General features: G+C 38.9%; 1 annotated feature.

Annotated features, from left to right (window-relative positions):
* Window positions 5,877-5,926: a silencer, noted in NCBI's record as "silent region_16202". NCBI's record gives its function as "represses an Ori minimal core promoter by ATAC-STARR-seq in GM12878 lymphoblastoid cells {active_cell/tissue: GM12878}" and the evidence as "EXISTENCE:reporter gene assay evidence [ECO:0000049][PMID:35858748]".

Below are 15,383 nucleotides of genomic sequence, written 5' to 3'. Positions count from 1 at the left end.
CATGAAGACAGCTGTCCTATAATTTCGAGCCATTGCAAGAGGAGTATAGGTGGTATCTGTGCTTCACCCCAAGCCTAGAGAGACTTAAGAAAGAATAAAAAAAAGCCTGTAAAATTTCTCATGTATTCCCTGCCATTGGGAACCACAGTCTTTTGTTGCATAACTTGCTCCTGAGAAAACTAAAGCAGATAATGGCAGCAGAATGGAGAGGGCTACATTTGGGAACTAACTGCATTCCCCTCCAATGGCTAATAAAAATGTGGAATCCTGAAGACAAAATATGGAACCCATGGAGATACGTTGGCCTGAGATGATTCAAACCAAGATCCTATACAAAAGGAATATCAAACACCCTGTTATATTCTGTCAATAGGAGCACTCAGAGGAGACTAGAGGGAAGAAAGAGGGAGAAAAGAACTTGCTACTTCCTGTATAATTCCTATTGCTCTCAGCATCACCCAGCAATGATACTTCACCCTGGCAGAAACAGGTGGTACTACAGTAGCAATAGGTTGCAGTTTACACTCCCAAAACCACCCTCATTGTGTCCCTCAGAGATACCAACACCAGATGGCCAGTGCCCCTCCCCAGAGTTCCCAGCCCAGTAGCCATACTCCTGAAGTACCAGCACTAATCAGGCAATGACTCCTCCTAAAGGGCCTGAGTCCCAGCTCAGGATCCTGACTCTGAGCTTCTATGAGTTAAAAATACCAACTAACCTCTTACCTTTTTTACTCTCAGACTTAAAAGAAGGTATCTGTTCTCAATACCAGGCTAATAATTCTATTTAAAATTCTCTATTAAAATAATTGTTATAGTTCTTGACTCCTGACTAGATTCTGACTTATTTACCTTGTAAGTTTCATCATCCTCAATGGAATCTAATGTGTAACCCATAATGTGATATTATAGAATTCATCCTGTAGCCTCATGTTCAATGGGTGGTGACCACAAAGTAATTCACCTGGCACATTACTGATGTCCATAAAGGGTTTACACTGTTACTTGTTATAAATGGGCGAAGTCCTTTCCTTTAACCACTTTGAGGTTTTCCCAACCAACTATGGAAGCCCAAAATGATCTCAATACAACCTTCTCCTTTTGTTTTCACCAGTACACTTCTACAGCCCACATTTTCACTTAAGACTCTTAGGAATAAGACAGTTGCCAGGCCCAATATTCCCTAAATTCTCAGAGCCACATGTGAAATTCTCTAAATGGGTCTCTTCACAGCCCCATCACTTGCTTTAGTCAAGGCCAGCAACACTCTCCTAACCATGGGAAAGGCAAAGGAGGAATTATCATAAAACACTGACATCTTTCTCCCAAGAAATTCTCAATATAGGCCTCCATTTTTTAATCTCCAATGACTCTCCAGTACTTAATTTACATAGTATGGAGGTGGGTGATAGGTTAATAAGAGCAGAACTGAGTTTTGGCAGCCCTTTTGCTAACCTTACATATATGGTCTAGTGCTTAAGTGTAGAATGTAGATACCAGCATGTCTGAGCCTCAGCCTCTAGAGCTTTCTTTGAAACTTCAAGTCATCAGAAAATGTTACACTTAAAATCTTACTTATATTAGTTTGGGTGTAAACTAATCTTATGTAACAAGAGACCCCAAAATATAATAGCTCAAATAAGGTAGAAATGTATTGCTCTCTCACGTAATATTCAGAGGCAGGTAGGTGGAGCAAAATGGTAAAGTAGCTGGCTCTGTGGGATACCTGGGAACTAGGGTCCTTCCATCTTGTTTTTCAGACATTCCCTGAGAGTATTTCCCTTACCTGCATGAGTGAAGCTGATTCACTACAATGGTCAAGGTCCAGCCTTGAAATGAAACAGAAGGATCCACATATCCATTGTTTTAAAGCAAGACCCAGAATCTGCATTTCTAATTTCTACTCCCATCCTATATACAGATAAAAACTTAGACATGTAACTACATATATCTCTAACAAGGCTGGAAAACATCATCTCTGGCTCAGGCGTCATGAGTTCAGATGGAAATCAGCAGCTTCTGTTGCTAAAAGGAAAAATGAAATGAAAGAATGCATGTTGAAAGAACAATTAGCACATTCTGCTGACAATCACTTATATGTAAGTGCAAATTTAAAATGAATATTGAAAAAGAAATTACTAAAAACATTTAACACAAAATGTTACATTAAGAATATACTGTAATCCCATAACTAGGTATATATCCAAAGGAAAATAAATTGCTTTACCAAAAAGACACATGCAACTGTGGTTCATCACAGCACTATTCACGATAGCAAAGACATGGAATTAATTTAATTTAAGTGCCTAGCCTACCAATGATGGACTGGATTAAAAAAATGTGGTACATATACACCATGGAATACTATGAAGCCATCCAAAAGAATGAAATCATGTCCTTGCAGCAATATAGATACACCTGGGGGCCATTATCCTAAGGAAATTAATCCAGGAACGAGAAACCAAATACTGCATGTTCTCACTTTTAAGTGGGAGCTAAACACTGTGTACACATGGATATAAAGATGGCAACAGTAGACAACAGAGACTACTAGAGGAGGGGAGATGGGGATGGGGGAAGGGGTTAAACTATCGGGTACTATGCTCGCTACTGGGTGACAGGATAAACCATACCCGAAACTTCAGCATTGTGCAATATACCCATGTAACAAACTTACACATATACCTCCTGAATCTAAAATAAAAGCTGAAATTATAAAAAGGGGGAAAAAAACGAATATACTTTTAAGTTGTGGTGGTCCATTGCAAAGCAAGGTGACTATAATTAGTGATAATATGTATTTCAAAATTTCCAAAAGGTTGGATTTTATAAGTACGTGAGGTGATGGATATGTTAATTAGCCTGATTTGCTCATTCTACAATGTATACATGTATCCAAGCATGACTTTTTACTCCATAAATATACTATTATTTGTCAATACAAATTAAATTTCTTAAAAATTGTAAATAAGAATACACTTTTAAAAATAAAAATTGGTTTCTTTACAAATTTAGTTCTAAAACCATTTTAAACATGCATAAGTAATATTCTATCTTGACATTTAAGAAACTAATGTTGAGATAACTGTGATCTACTTTCAGTGATCTAGTAGCAAAAACAATGAAAAAATCGATTCTTTAAATGAGCAAAGACCCTTAATGAAATGCCTTCAAACTCTGAAGAAACACTTTATCAGCGCCAATAAAGTAAAAACAACAATAAAAATACCAAAATTTTCATTTCACCTCACCTTCTTTTATCCACCTACCTTGAGTTACATAGGTAGGAAAATGCCCAAAGCATTCCGGCATCATGAGGGAAAAACCCAAGATAGCATTTAAGTTTATTCACAAATTGAATATCAATTCCTCCAGTGACTTTAAAGAAGCAACATATTAAATAATAGAACATACTACCACTAATATTTATAGAAATAGTGAAAGTTCTAAAAATGGCCAGCCAACAGGTTATTTTTGGCTACACTACACTGTGTGAGCTTTATTCCATACAGGCTTAACATATGTTAGATATGTTTTAGAAAAACAAATCAGTTCAACATGAACTAATATTCAGGCAGTAACCTCAAATCAATTAGTGCCAACCCTTGACTTCCTTGACAAGAACTCCCTAGGTTAATAAATGAGTTTGGATTATCAGAGTAATGGTCACTATGGTAACCCCGGTCACTGTTTTAAAAGCTAATTTCAGATGTCATCAGACTATAGATGGCAGTTTAACAAAGTTGCACATTCTAAGAGAACCAAACAATTTTATCCTTGGGAGACCTGTTTGAAAAAATATTGTTTTCACATTAAAGAGGAGTACATTAAGCCAAATAAAAAAAAAGTGGGGGAGTAGTAAGAATATTTAACCAAGTCTGGAAGTCAGGCAGTAGCTTAGACTAAAAAAGCTATTCTAATATAAGGCAGTTAAATACCCAATGGTCGAAATAATATTTTTAAAACCAAGATTTACTATCCAAAGAAAAAAATCATAAAATGATGTCATATTTAGTGTATGGAAACATTTAAAATTCTAGCATAGAGTAACTTGGAATAACACATTTAGTATTCGAATTTGTAACCTACACAATTATACATATTATTTTAGGTAACTTAAAAGCCCTATTTAATAAACATTTCTAACAGAGTAATGGAATTATTTTTAATTTTTGAAAACAAAGATATAACAACAACAAAAAAGTAAAACAAGCACAGAACTAAAACAGGTAAATTCATTAATTGAAGTCAATGAAGTAGACGACCAAAGATCTGAAACAAGTTACATATTCTCTAAATCAAGGAACCTAAATAGACAATATCTCAAAAAAGGCAAGCCATTAAGATGCCTACTTGATTACTGCCCTATGCAGCAGGTCTAACAGGCAAATTGGATCTCAAAAAGACCATACAGGCTGTGCCACTTATCAAGCTATTGTCTCTTAGCTCTACACCCAGACTTCTACACTCTAGCCTCTGATGCTAGGACTGAGACCCTTAAATTCCATTTTGGCTTTGCCAGCTGGCTCCACGTTGCACTCTGCCAAAAAGGGATCTTAGAAGTGGGAAGAGTCAACTTGCTTCCTCTGTCTTCTTCCTGTTTGCTTTCTACAAGCTTCCTGTGTGTGTGCCATTTTTGTTAGCATCACCCTGACAACACTTCTTTACCCCAGCAACAGCAGGGAGCTTCCACAGCATCAGCTGAATTTAGTTGCAATTTTTCCAACACTTGGAAAACAAGTTTTATCATGTCCTCCCGGCCCAGAAATATTAGCACCAACATGGCAGTGCCCCCTACTCAGATGTCAGGTTGTCAGGTCTGTGGGTCCTCTCTTCTAAGCATCTAAGTGTTAGTAATTTCAATCTCTTCTTTTTGTTCCTCCAACCCTAGTGGTAGTAGCTGTAGTGCCTTAATATTCTCATGTCCCCTTTTTAGTTATCTAGTGAACTTTATGCCTAATTTAACATTCTGAATATTAAAGGCTCTGTTTAAATAACTAAGACGGCTTCTGTCCACTGACTGGTTCCTGACTAATCACCTATCCAGTAATTCTCAAGGTGAGTGGAACTATCAAAATCACTAAGAGACTGGGAGGTACAGTTTGAAAATGAGTATCTACCAGTGTGATATAGTTTTCTATTTGCAAAATGAAAATATATTATTTTCATAAAACAAATCTTAACCAAATATTTTATTAATATTATTTTTCATTGACAAACCATAATTATATACATTTATGAGGAACAATGTGATGTTTTGATACATGTATACAATGTAAAATGATCAAAACAGATCTATTGGGAAAAATGGCAGACAGGAGGCAGAACTAACTTGCAGCTCCCACTCAGATGGACAGAGCAGCATGCAGAGACTCACATTATGAACTTCTGCTCCAAGAACTACAACAGGAACATACCAGGAAAACCAAGAGAATCCATAGACACTTTGAATGAAGCAGCTTGCCGCGGCAGGCTCAGTAAGACAGCCAGAAAACTGTGAGTGCCCAAAGTGTGAGAGGAAGGATGTCCACCCCTGAACATACATCCTCACTGGGGAATGTGAAGATTTAGATCATGGGAGAAGAATATGACCTTACCTGAAGTTGAGACAAACTTAGAGCCAAGCAAAATACAGAAGTAGAGGAAGCAGCAGAAAGAGCCCTGTGGGGCACTCTCGGTCCCCAGGGAAGCCATTCCTGACTTTCTCTCGCAGGAGTCCTTGAGGAGGGCTGCCAGTGGAATTACAGAAAGACCAAAGGGAGAAGGAAATTTCCAGACAAACTTTGTAACACTTTTGACTGAAGGCGAAGTTTCCTGGACCGAATCCAAGGGAGGGGGCAACCTAGGAGTACAGATACAAGCACAGAAACTGTGGCATGTGGGGAGGCAGGAAACCTGAAAGCCCTGCTTGCTTTCTCAGCAGGGAGGCTTGTAGCCTGGGGCAAGTTCTCAGCCCTGCTCACCAGCTGCCTGTAAATAAACTCAGTGCTGTTGGTGGGGCACGGTGGGAGTAAGACTGGCCCTTCAGGCTCTGCGGTGAGGCCTGTCACTACTGGCTTTTCCCCACTTCTGTGGTAACCTGTATGATGCAGCAGAGGCAGCCATAATCCCCCTGGGAACATAACTCCGTTAGCAAGCCTAAGAACCATACCCTGCCCCCCACAGCAGCTGCAGCAAGCCACACATAAAGAAAATCTCAGCTCAGACACATATAACCCTGCCCCAACTTGATGGTCTTTCTCTACCCACCCTGATAGCCAAATACAAAGAACATAATTTCTTGGGAGCTCTATGGGCCCAACTACCACCTGAAAAACCTGAATATTTATGCAGGCAACCCTAAGGCAAGCTTGTATCCTCCCTATACTACCACAGCTGATGCTCTCTCGAAAGCACCACCTCCTGGCTGGAGGCCAACCAACACAAAACCAGTGCACTAAACAAAACTGCAACCAAGAACCCTCATAGAGTCCAATTCACTCCCCTGCTACCTCCACCAGAGCAAATGCTGGTATCCATAGCTGAGAGACCTGAAGATAAATAACATCACAGGACTCTTTGCAGACATGCCCCAGTACCAGCCTTGAGCCTGGTAGCTCGTAGATCCACTGGTAGCTAGATGCAGAAGAGAAATAACAATCACGGCAGTTCGGCTCTCAGGAAGCTCCATCCCTAGGGGAAGGGGGAGAGCACTACTACATCAAGGGATCACCCCGTGGGACAAAAGAATCTGAAAAATAGCCCCTGAGCCCCAGATCTTTTCTTCTCACATAGTATACCCAAATGAGAAGGAACCAGAAAAACAATTCTGGTAATATGACAAAACAAGGTTCTTTAACACCCCAAAAAAATCACACTACCTCACAAGCAATGGATCCAAACCAAGAAGAAACCTCCAAATTGCCAGAAAAAGAATTCAGAAGGTCGATTATTAAGCTATTTAAGGAGGCACCACAGTAAAGTGAATACCACCTTAAAGAAATAAAAATTATACAAGATATGGATGGGAAAAATCTCCAGAGAAACAGATAGCATAAATAAAAAACAATTATAACTTCTGGAAATGAAGGACACACCTAGAGAAATGGAAAATACACTGGAAAGTCTCAGCAATAGAATCAAATAAGTAGAGGAAAGAACTTCAGAGCTCGACAGCAAGGCTTTCAAATTAACCCAGTCCAATAAAGACAAAGAAAAAATAATAAAAAATAAATAAACAAAGCCTCCAAGAAGTTTGGGATTATGTTAAACAACCAAACCCAAGAATAATTGGTGTTCCTGAGGAAGAAGAGAAATCTAAAAGTTTGGAAAACATATTTAAGGGAATAATCGAGGGAAGCTCCTGGCCTTGCTAGAGATCTAGACATCCAAATACAAGAAGCTCAAAGAATACCCAGGAAATTCATTGCAAAAGATCATCGCTTAGGCACAAAATCATCAGGTTATCTAAAGTCAAGGCAAAGGAAAGAATCTTAAGAGCTGTGAGGCAAAAGCATCAGGTGACCTACAAAGGAAAACCTATCAGATTAGCAGCAGGTATTCAGGCAACAACTAGCACAACAAATAGAATAGTATCTCATTTTCAATACTAACTTCAGTGTAAATGACCTAAATGCTCCACTTAAAAGATACAGAATGGCAGAATGGATAAGAATTCACCAACCAACTAACTGCTGACTTCAAGAGATTCATCTAACACATAAGGACTCACATAAACTAGGAAAAAGACATTCCATGCAAATGGACACCAAAAGCAAGCAGGAGTAGCTATTCTTATATCAGACAAAACAGACTTCAAAGCAACAACAACAACAAAAAAAGACAAAGAGTGACATTATATAATGATAAAAGGACTAGTCCAACAAGAAAATATAACAATCCTAAATATATATGCACCTAACACTGGAGGTCCCAAATTTATAAAACAAGTACTACTAGACCTGCCTAAGAAATGAGATAGACAGCAACACAATAATAGTGGAGGATTTCAGTACTCCACTGACAGCACTAGACAGGCCATCAAGACAGAAAGTCAAAAAAGAAATACAGACTTAAACTATATCCTAAAACAAAATGGACTTAACAGATATTTATAGAACATTCTACCCAACAACTGCAGAATATACATTCTATTCATCAGCACATGGAACATTCTCCAAGAAAGACCATATAATAGGCCACAAAACAAGTCTCAATAAATTTAGAAAATCAAAACTAGATCAAGTATTCCCTCAGACTCTAGTGGAATAAAATTGGAAATCAACTCCAAAAGGAACCCTCACAAGCATGCAAATACATGGAAATTAAATAACCTACTCCTGAATGATCACTGGGTCAACAATGAAATCAAGATGGAAATTTTAAAATCCTTTGAGCTGAATGATAGCAGTGACATAACCTATCAAAACACCTGGGATACACCAAAAGCAGTGCTAAGAGGAAACTTCATAGCACTGAATGCCAACATCGAAAAGTCTGAAAGAGCACAAATAGGCAATCTAAGGTCACACTTCAAGGAACTAGAGAAACAAGAACAAACCAAACCCAAACCCAGCAGAAGAAAGGAAATAGCTGAGATCAGAGCTGAACTAAATGAAATTGAAACAAAAATAAAACAATACAAAAGATAAATAAGGCTGGGCGCGGTGGCTCACGCCTGTAATCCCAGCACTTTGGGAGGCCGAGGTGGATGAATCAGGAGGTCAGGAGATTGAGACCATCCTGGCTAACACAGTGAAACCCCGTCTCTACTAAAAATACAAAAAATTAGCCAGGTGTGGTGGCAGGTGCCTGTAGTGCCAGCTACTTGGGAGGCTGAGGCAGGAGAATGGCATGAACCCCAGAGGCAGAGCTTTCAGTGAGCCGAGATCATGCCACTGCACTCCAGCCTGGGCGACAGAGCGAGACTCTATCTCAAAAAAAAAAAAAAAAAAGATAAATAAGACAAAAAACTGGTTCTTTGAAAAGATAAATAAAATTGATAGACGATTAGCAAGATTAACCAAGAAAAGAGGAGAGAAAATACAAATAAGCTCAATAAGGAACAAAACAGGAGATATTACAACTGACACTATATAAATACAAAAGATCATTCAAGGCTACTGTGAACACCTTTACATGCATAAACTAGAAAACCTAAAAGACATGGATAAATTCCTGGAAAGTAGAGAGGCATCACATTACCCAACTTCAAACTATACTATAAGGCTATAGTCACCAACTCAGCATGGCACTGGTATAAAAATAGGCATGTAGACCAATGAAACAGAAAAGAGAACCCAGACATAAAGCCAAATACAGCCAACCAATCTTTGACAAAGCAAACAAAAACATAAAGTGGGGAAAGGACGCTCTATTCAACAAATGGTGCTGGGATAATTGGCAAGCCACATGTAGAAGAATGAAACTGGATCCTCATCTCCCCTTTATACAAAATCAACACAAAATAGATAAAAGACTTAAATCTAAGACCTAAATCATAAAAATCCTAGAAGATAACATCAGAAAAACCCTTCTAGACATTGGCTCAGGCAAAGACTTAATGACAAAGAACCTAAAAGCAAATGCAACAGAAACAAAAATAAACAGATGGAATTTAATAAAACTAAAAAGTTTCTGCACAGCAAAAGAAATAATCAGCAGAGTAAACAGCCCACAAAGTGGGAGAAAATCTTTGCAAACTATGCATTTGACAAAGGACTAATATACAGAATCTACAAGGAACTGACTTAAACAAACTAGGAAGAAAAAACAGCCCACAAAGTGGGAGAAAATCTTTGCAAACTATGCATCTGACAAAGGACTAATATCCAGAATCTACAAGGAATTGACTTAAACAAACTAGCAAGAAAAAAATAAACAATCCCATCAAAAAGTGGGCTAAGGACATGAATAGACAATTCTCAAAAGAAGATATACAAATGGCCAACAAACATATGAAAAAATGCTTAACATCACCAATGATCAGGGAAATGCAAATCAAAACCATGATATGATACCACCTTATTCCTGCAAGAATGGCCATAACCCAAAAATCAAAAAATAATAGATGTTGGCATGGTTGTGGTGAAAAGAGAACACTTTTACACTGCTGGTAGGAATGCAAACTAGTACAACCACTATGGAAAGCTGCATGAAGATTTTTTTAAAGAACTAAAAGTAGATCAACCATTTGATCCAGCAATCCCAGAGGAAAAGAAGTGATTATACAAAAGGATACTTGCACACATATGTTTATAGCAGCACAATTTGCAGTTGCAAAAATATAGAACCAACCCAAATGTCTATAAATCAACAAGTGGATAAAGAAAATATGTTGGCCGGGTACGGTGGCTCATGCCTGTAATCCCAGTTATTTTGGGAGGCCAAGGTGGGCAGATCATGAGGTCAGGAGATCTAGACCATCCTGGCTAACATGGTGAAACCCCATCTCTACTAAAAATACAAAAAATTAGCCAGGCATGGTGGCAGACGCCTGTAGTCCCAGCTACTCGGGAGGCTGAAGCAGGAGAATGGCGTGAACCCGGGAGGCGGAGCTTGCAGTGAGCCGAGATTGCACCACTGCACTCCAGCCTCGGCAACAGAACGAGACTCCATCTCAAAAAAAAAAAAAATTGTGATACACACACACACACACACACACACACATACATACACATAGACCATGGAATACTACTCAGCCATAAAAAGGAACTAAATAATAGCATTTGCAGCAACCTGGATGGAATTGGAGATTCCATCTATGTGAAGTAACTCAGGAATAGAAAACCTAACATCATATGTTCTCACTTATTAAGTGGGAGCTACGCTATGATGATGTAAAGCCATAAGAATGATACAATGAGCTTTGTGGATTCAGGTGGGAAGGGGGGTAAGGGACAAGATTTACTGATCAAGATTGTTTTGGATATTCAGTTAACCAAATATTCTTGGTCCTTAAGGATACACAGAAGAGAGTGATTCTCAACCACAAAGAAATGAAGGTGACGGGGTCTGTGATGGGGACTTAAATGAACAAGAGGTTTAGAAACACTAATTCAAGTCTATCCCCTTCATAATACAAATAAAGAACCTATGACCCATTAGACCTATAAACTTCTTGAGTAAAGGAACTGAGTTTTGTCTACCAAAATGCATTGTAAACATTCAAAATAAAAACTTGTTTGAATGAGTGAAATTAAAGGCATACCCAAGATCAAAAACTAGTTAGTGTCAGAGTTAAGCCAATGATAATATCTCTCAGTTGGAGGTCTTATTTTGCCTATCCCACCTTTATGGAAGGGTCCCATTATCACTATGCTGAAGGCCCAGAAAAACACTGGTGAAGGTGGACTTTCACACGAAGCCGACTCTGTACTGCAGAGTGGCATGTGGGAATATTAATACAGAGTGCTCTTATGATCAACTCTTTAAGAAGAGCAGGGAAAGAAGTAGGATTAGGCAAAGGAAAAAGTTTAACTGTGGTGTAGTACCAAAGGAGGCCTCGAGGCTTTTGACTCGAAAGCAGGGGTCCCCAACCCCCAGGCCACGGACCAGTTCCTTTACTCACATTTCTTGTGCACACCCATATATCCTTTCTCATACCCCTCTACCTCAGACATCCTTGTTCCCAATCTACTAATTCTTCTTCCAAGTCCCTTTCCAACCAGCCAAGCCATTCACCCTTCCCCATGAGTCCATGTATATTTTAACCTGGGGCTATTTCTCTTACTACACAAAGTGAATGATGAAGTGCACCTTCCAAAGATCTGCCCATCAGGAGGATATTCCCTGATCACTTCTCTTTCAAGGACACACAAATAGAGCTGTAGTTCAACTACAAAATCAAACTGACCCATCCGTGAATCTAATGTGGGCTTTTTTTGCTTCACCAACTGATCAAAGGTATCACCCATGGAGATATAAGTTGAGGGAAAGGCACTTGGGCAATGGTAGTGGATGACATGAAAGAGTCCAGTCCACCTGCTCATGCAGCTTGCACCCTCTGGTCCTGCTTGTGTTCACTCCTGCACGTACCACTTTCATCTTAGGATAGATCATTACTGAACAACTGTGACCCCGATGTCACCTGTGTGATATCTCAGCGCCAAGCAACACATCTCTCCCAGGGCTCTGCAGCACGCCAGGAGCTATTTTTCAAAAGGTATATAAATCTCTGCTGTGTATTCTGAACATGCTTCTGAATTCAACAAGTTTGTGTTGTGAGTCTCCCATTGAAACTTGCCATAAACTCCACACATCCCTATCTTCCATTCTGTGTCTTTTTCCACCACTGATATCCCTTATATGCAAATGTATGGCGCTACCACCCATATGCAGTAAAATCTATCATAATTTTTTCTGAGTTTTAGCTAGTATAATATCTTAAATGTAAATATACAAAATTTCTTTTTCTTGAATCTATGCTTTAAATTCAGTCTCCACATTCAACTTTTTCTGTAATTAACCTAACCTATGGGCAAGCAGGAGAGGTTAAAAAGTGGCCAGAATCATTAAAGACAACAGGCTACAGAAGATTAGAGGGAGGAGCACTTACTTCCCTTTGAGAGTGTGAGAGGTTGAATGATGACCCATCCAAAAATATCCACATACTAATTTCTAGAACCTAAGAATTTATCCTATATGGAAAAAAATATTTTACAGATGTTATTAAGGGTCTGAGTGGATCCTAAGTGCAATTACATGTATTTGTATAAGACAGAGACAGAAGGAAACACACACACTCACGAGTAGAGAAGGCAATAACGTAAGCATGGAGACAGAGACTGGAGTGATGTGCCACAAGCCAAAAGAATGCCAGCAGTCACCAAATCCCAGTAGGAGCTGCAAAAGGCAAGGAACAAATTCTCCACTAGAGCCCCTCTTGGGGGAACATGGTCCTGTCAACACGTTGATTTTGACCCAGTAAAAATAATCTCTTATTTCCAGCGTCCTGAACTGTAAGAGAATAAAGTTCTATTGTTTTAAGTCGTCAAAGTTTGCGGTAATATGTTAACAGCAGCAAGAGAAAATTAATATAGAGATAAATAGGAATAATAAAGAAAAACCTTATGTGGTGAATAGAATTTTAATGGTAGATAAGATTTACATATATTGTGATTGAAAAAGAAGAAAAACAGTAGGGAAGAGGTAATATTACAGGTGGAGGGAAAAGTATTACAGGTGAAGGGAAAACTTAGTAAAAAAGAAATTTAAGGGAGTTATACAGGGAAAACAAAAGTAGTTCAATTAGACAAGAGTACAAACTGCTTGAAGATGGTGATACAGATTGTTGACAATCCTGAATGCCAGTCTAAACGTGCACTTTGATCTGTAGACAGTTAAGGTTCTCTGCAACTTGTAAGGACAGGGTCAGGGCAGGGGAGGTAAGGGAGGAGGAAACACCAACATGATACACCTTTTGCACATCTGTGTCACACTACTCTCTATTTTTCTACTCTTCACCCTCCAACACAGGTATGAGGGTTGAGATTGATTCCCCAGGACCTAGTAAAAAAGTATGGCATATATGTTTGATGAATAGTGAATGCATTAACGAATAATACTGTACATGTTTTGTTTTACTCATCACTAAGCATGGTATGAGGGAGTAGAACAGAATACCAAACTGCACTTCAATCACTTACTTTTACTCTTCAAAGTTCTGATTATTAAAATGATTTTATTTTAAAAGTAATATTCCAAATATAAGAGATTTGGACTTAATGTGATTAACCGTAAGGCATACTTCAGAACACCAATAGCAATTCTAGTCAATTCCACTCAGTTAATGGTGGCTGTCTGAGGCAATGTTGAGAAATAATGTAAGAATTACACCATAATAGATTAGGAACATTTGCTAAAGTGCTGGATTCGGAGTAGAAACATAAATGGCTTGTTTCCCATTCCATTCTTGCTCTAGAAGTTAGTTATTTGCATACAAATGGCCAACAGGTACATGAAAAATTGCTCAACATCACTAAGTATATAAGAAATGAAAATCAAAGCCATAATGAGATATTATCTTACCCCAGTCCAAATGGCTACTGTTAAAAAGACAAAAAATAATGGATGTTGGTGAAGATGCGGAGAAAAGAGAACTCTTATACACTGTTGATGAGAATGTAAATTAGTACAGCCACTGTGGAAAAGTATATGGAGATTTCTCAAAAAATTAAAAATAGAATTATTCAATCCAGCAATCCCACTATTGGGTATCTACCCAGAGGAAAGAAATCAGTATATCAAAGGGATACCTACACTTGCATGTTTATCGCAGCACTATTCACAATAGCAAAGCTATGGAATCAACCTAAGTGTCCATCAACAGATGAATGGATAAAGAAAATGTGGTATATATACACAATGGAGTACTATTCAGACATAAAAAATGAAATCTTGCCATTTGCAGTAACGTGGATGGAGCTGGAGGTCATTATCTTAAGGGAAATAAGCCAGGAACAAAAAGACAAATATCACACGCTCTTACTTATATGTGGAAGCTAAAAAATTTGATCACATTAAGGTAGAGAGTGGAAAGACAGATAACAGACTGGGAAAGATGAGGGGAGTGGGAACAGGATGAAGAGAGTAGGTTAAAGGTTACAAACATGGAGTCAGATAGAAGGAATATATTCACTGCTTGATAGTAGAGTAGGGTAACTATAGTTACACAAAAATATATTGTATTTGGATGACAGACACCCTAAATACTTGTAACAAAATTTCTCACGTACCCCATAAATTTGTACAAATAAAGTTAGTCACTTGGTTTTTTTAAAAACTTTTCGCCCAGGCGCGGTGGCTTATGCCTGTAATCCCAGCACTTTGGGAGACTGAGGGGGGCGGATCACCTGAGGCCAGGAGTTTGAAACCAGTCTGGTCAACAGGGCGAAACCCCATCTCTACTAAAAATAAAAATATTAGCAGGGCGTGGTGGTGTGAGCCTATAATCCCAGCTACTTAGGAGGCTGAGGGAGAAGAATCCCTTGAACCTAGAGGGCAGAGGTTGCAGTGAGCCAAGATCGCGCCCCTGTACTTCAGTCTGGGTGACAGAGCCGGGCTCTGTCTCAAAAATAAAAAAAAAATTCATTTCTATGCCTTCTTATGTAAGTACAGAAAGAAAAATTCCGTTTAAATGGAGATGTTCATTGGTTGAAGATGGTTAATCAAAGACATGCTGCATTCAAGTAAAAAGCAGACAAAGGCTTGAATATCGAGGAGTTGCAGAGCCAGTATGGGTAACTATTCTAAAATCCTTAAATCGCTCCTGGGCCCTCGAAGTCCTACCCGCGTAGGTCAGCCCGAACTATCAAAATCCCCACTTCCTCTGGAGGTAAGGACGTCCGCCGCGCTCTCCACGTGTCACCTTAAACTCCCACCCCAACCAGCGCAGGCGCACTTCG

Source organism: Homo sapiens, chromosome 5, assembly GCF_000001405.40.
Source record: "Homo sapiens chromosome 5, GRCh38.p14 Primary Assembly".
NCBI lineage: Eukaryota > Metazoa > Chordata > Mammalia > Primates > Hominidae > Homo > Homo sapiens.
This window is presented reverse-complemented; position numbering and strand designations above follow the sequence as displayed.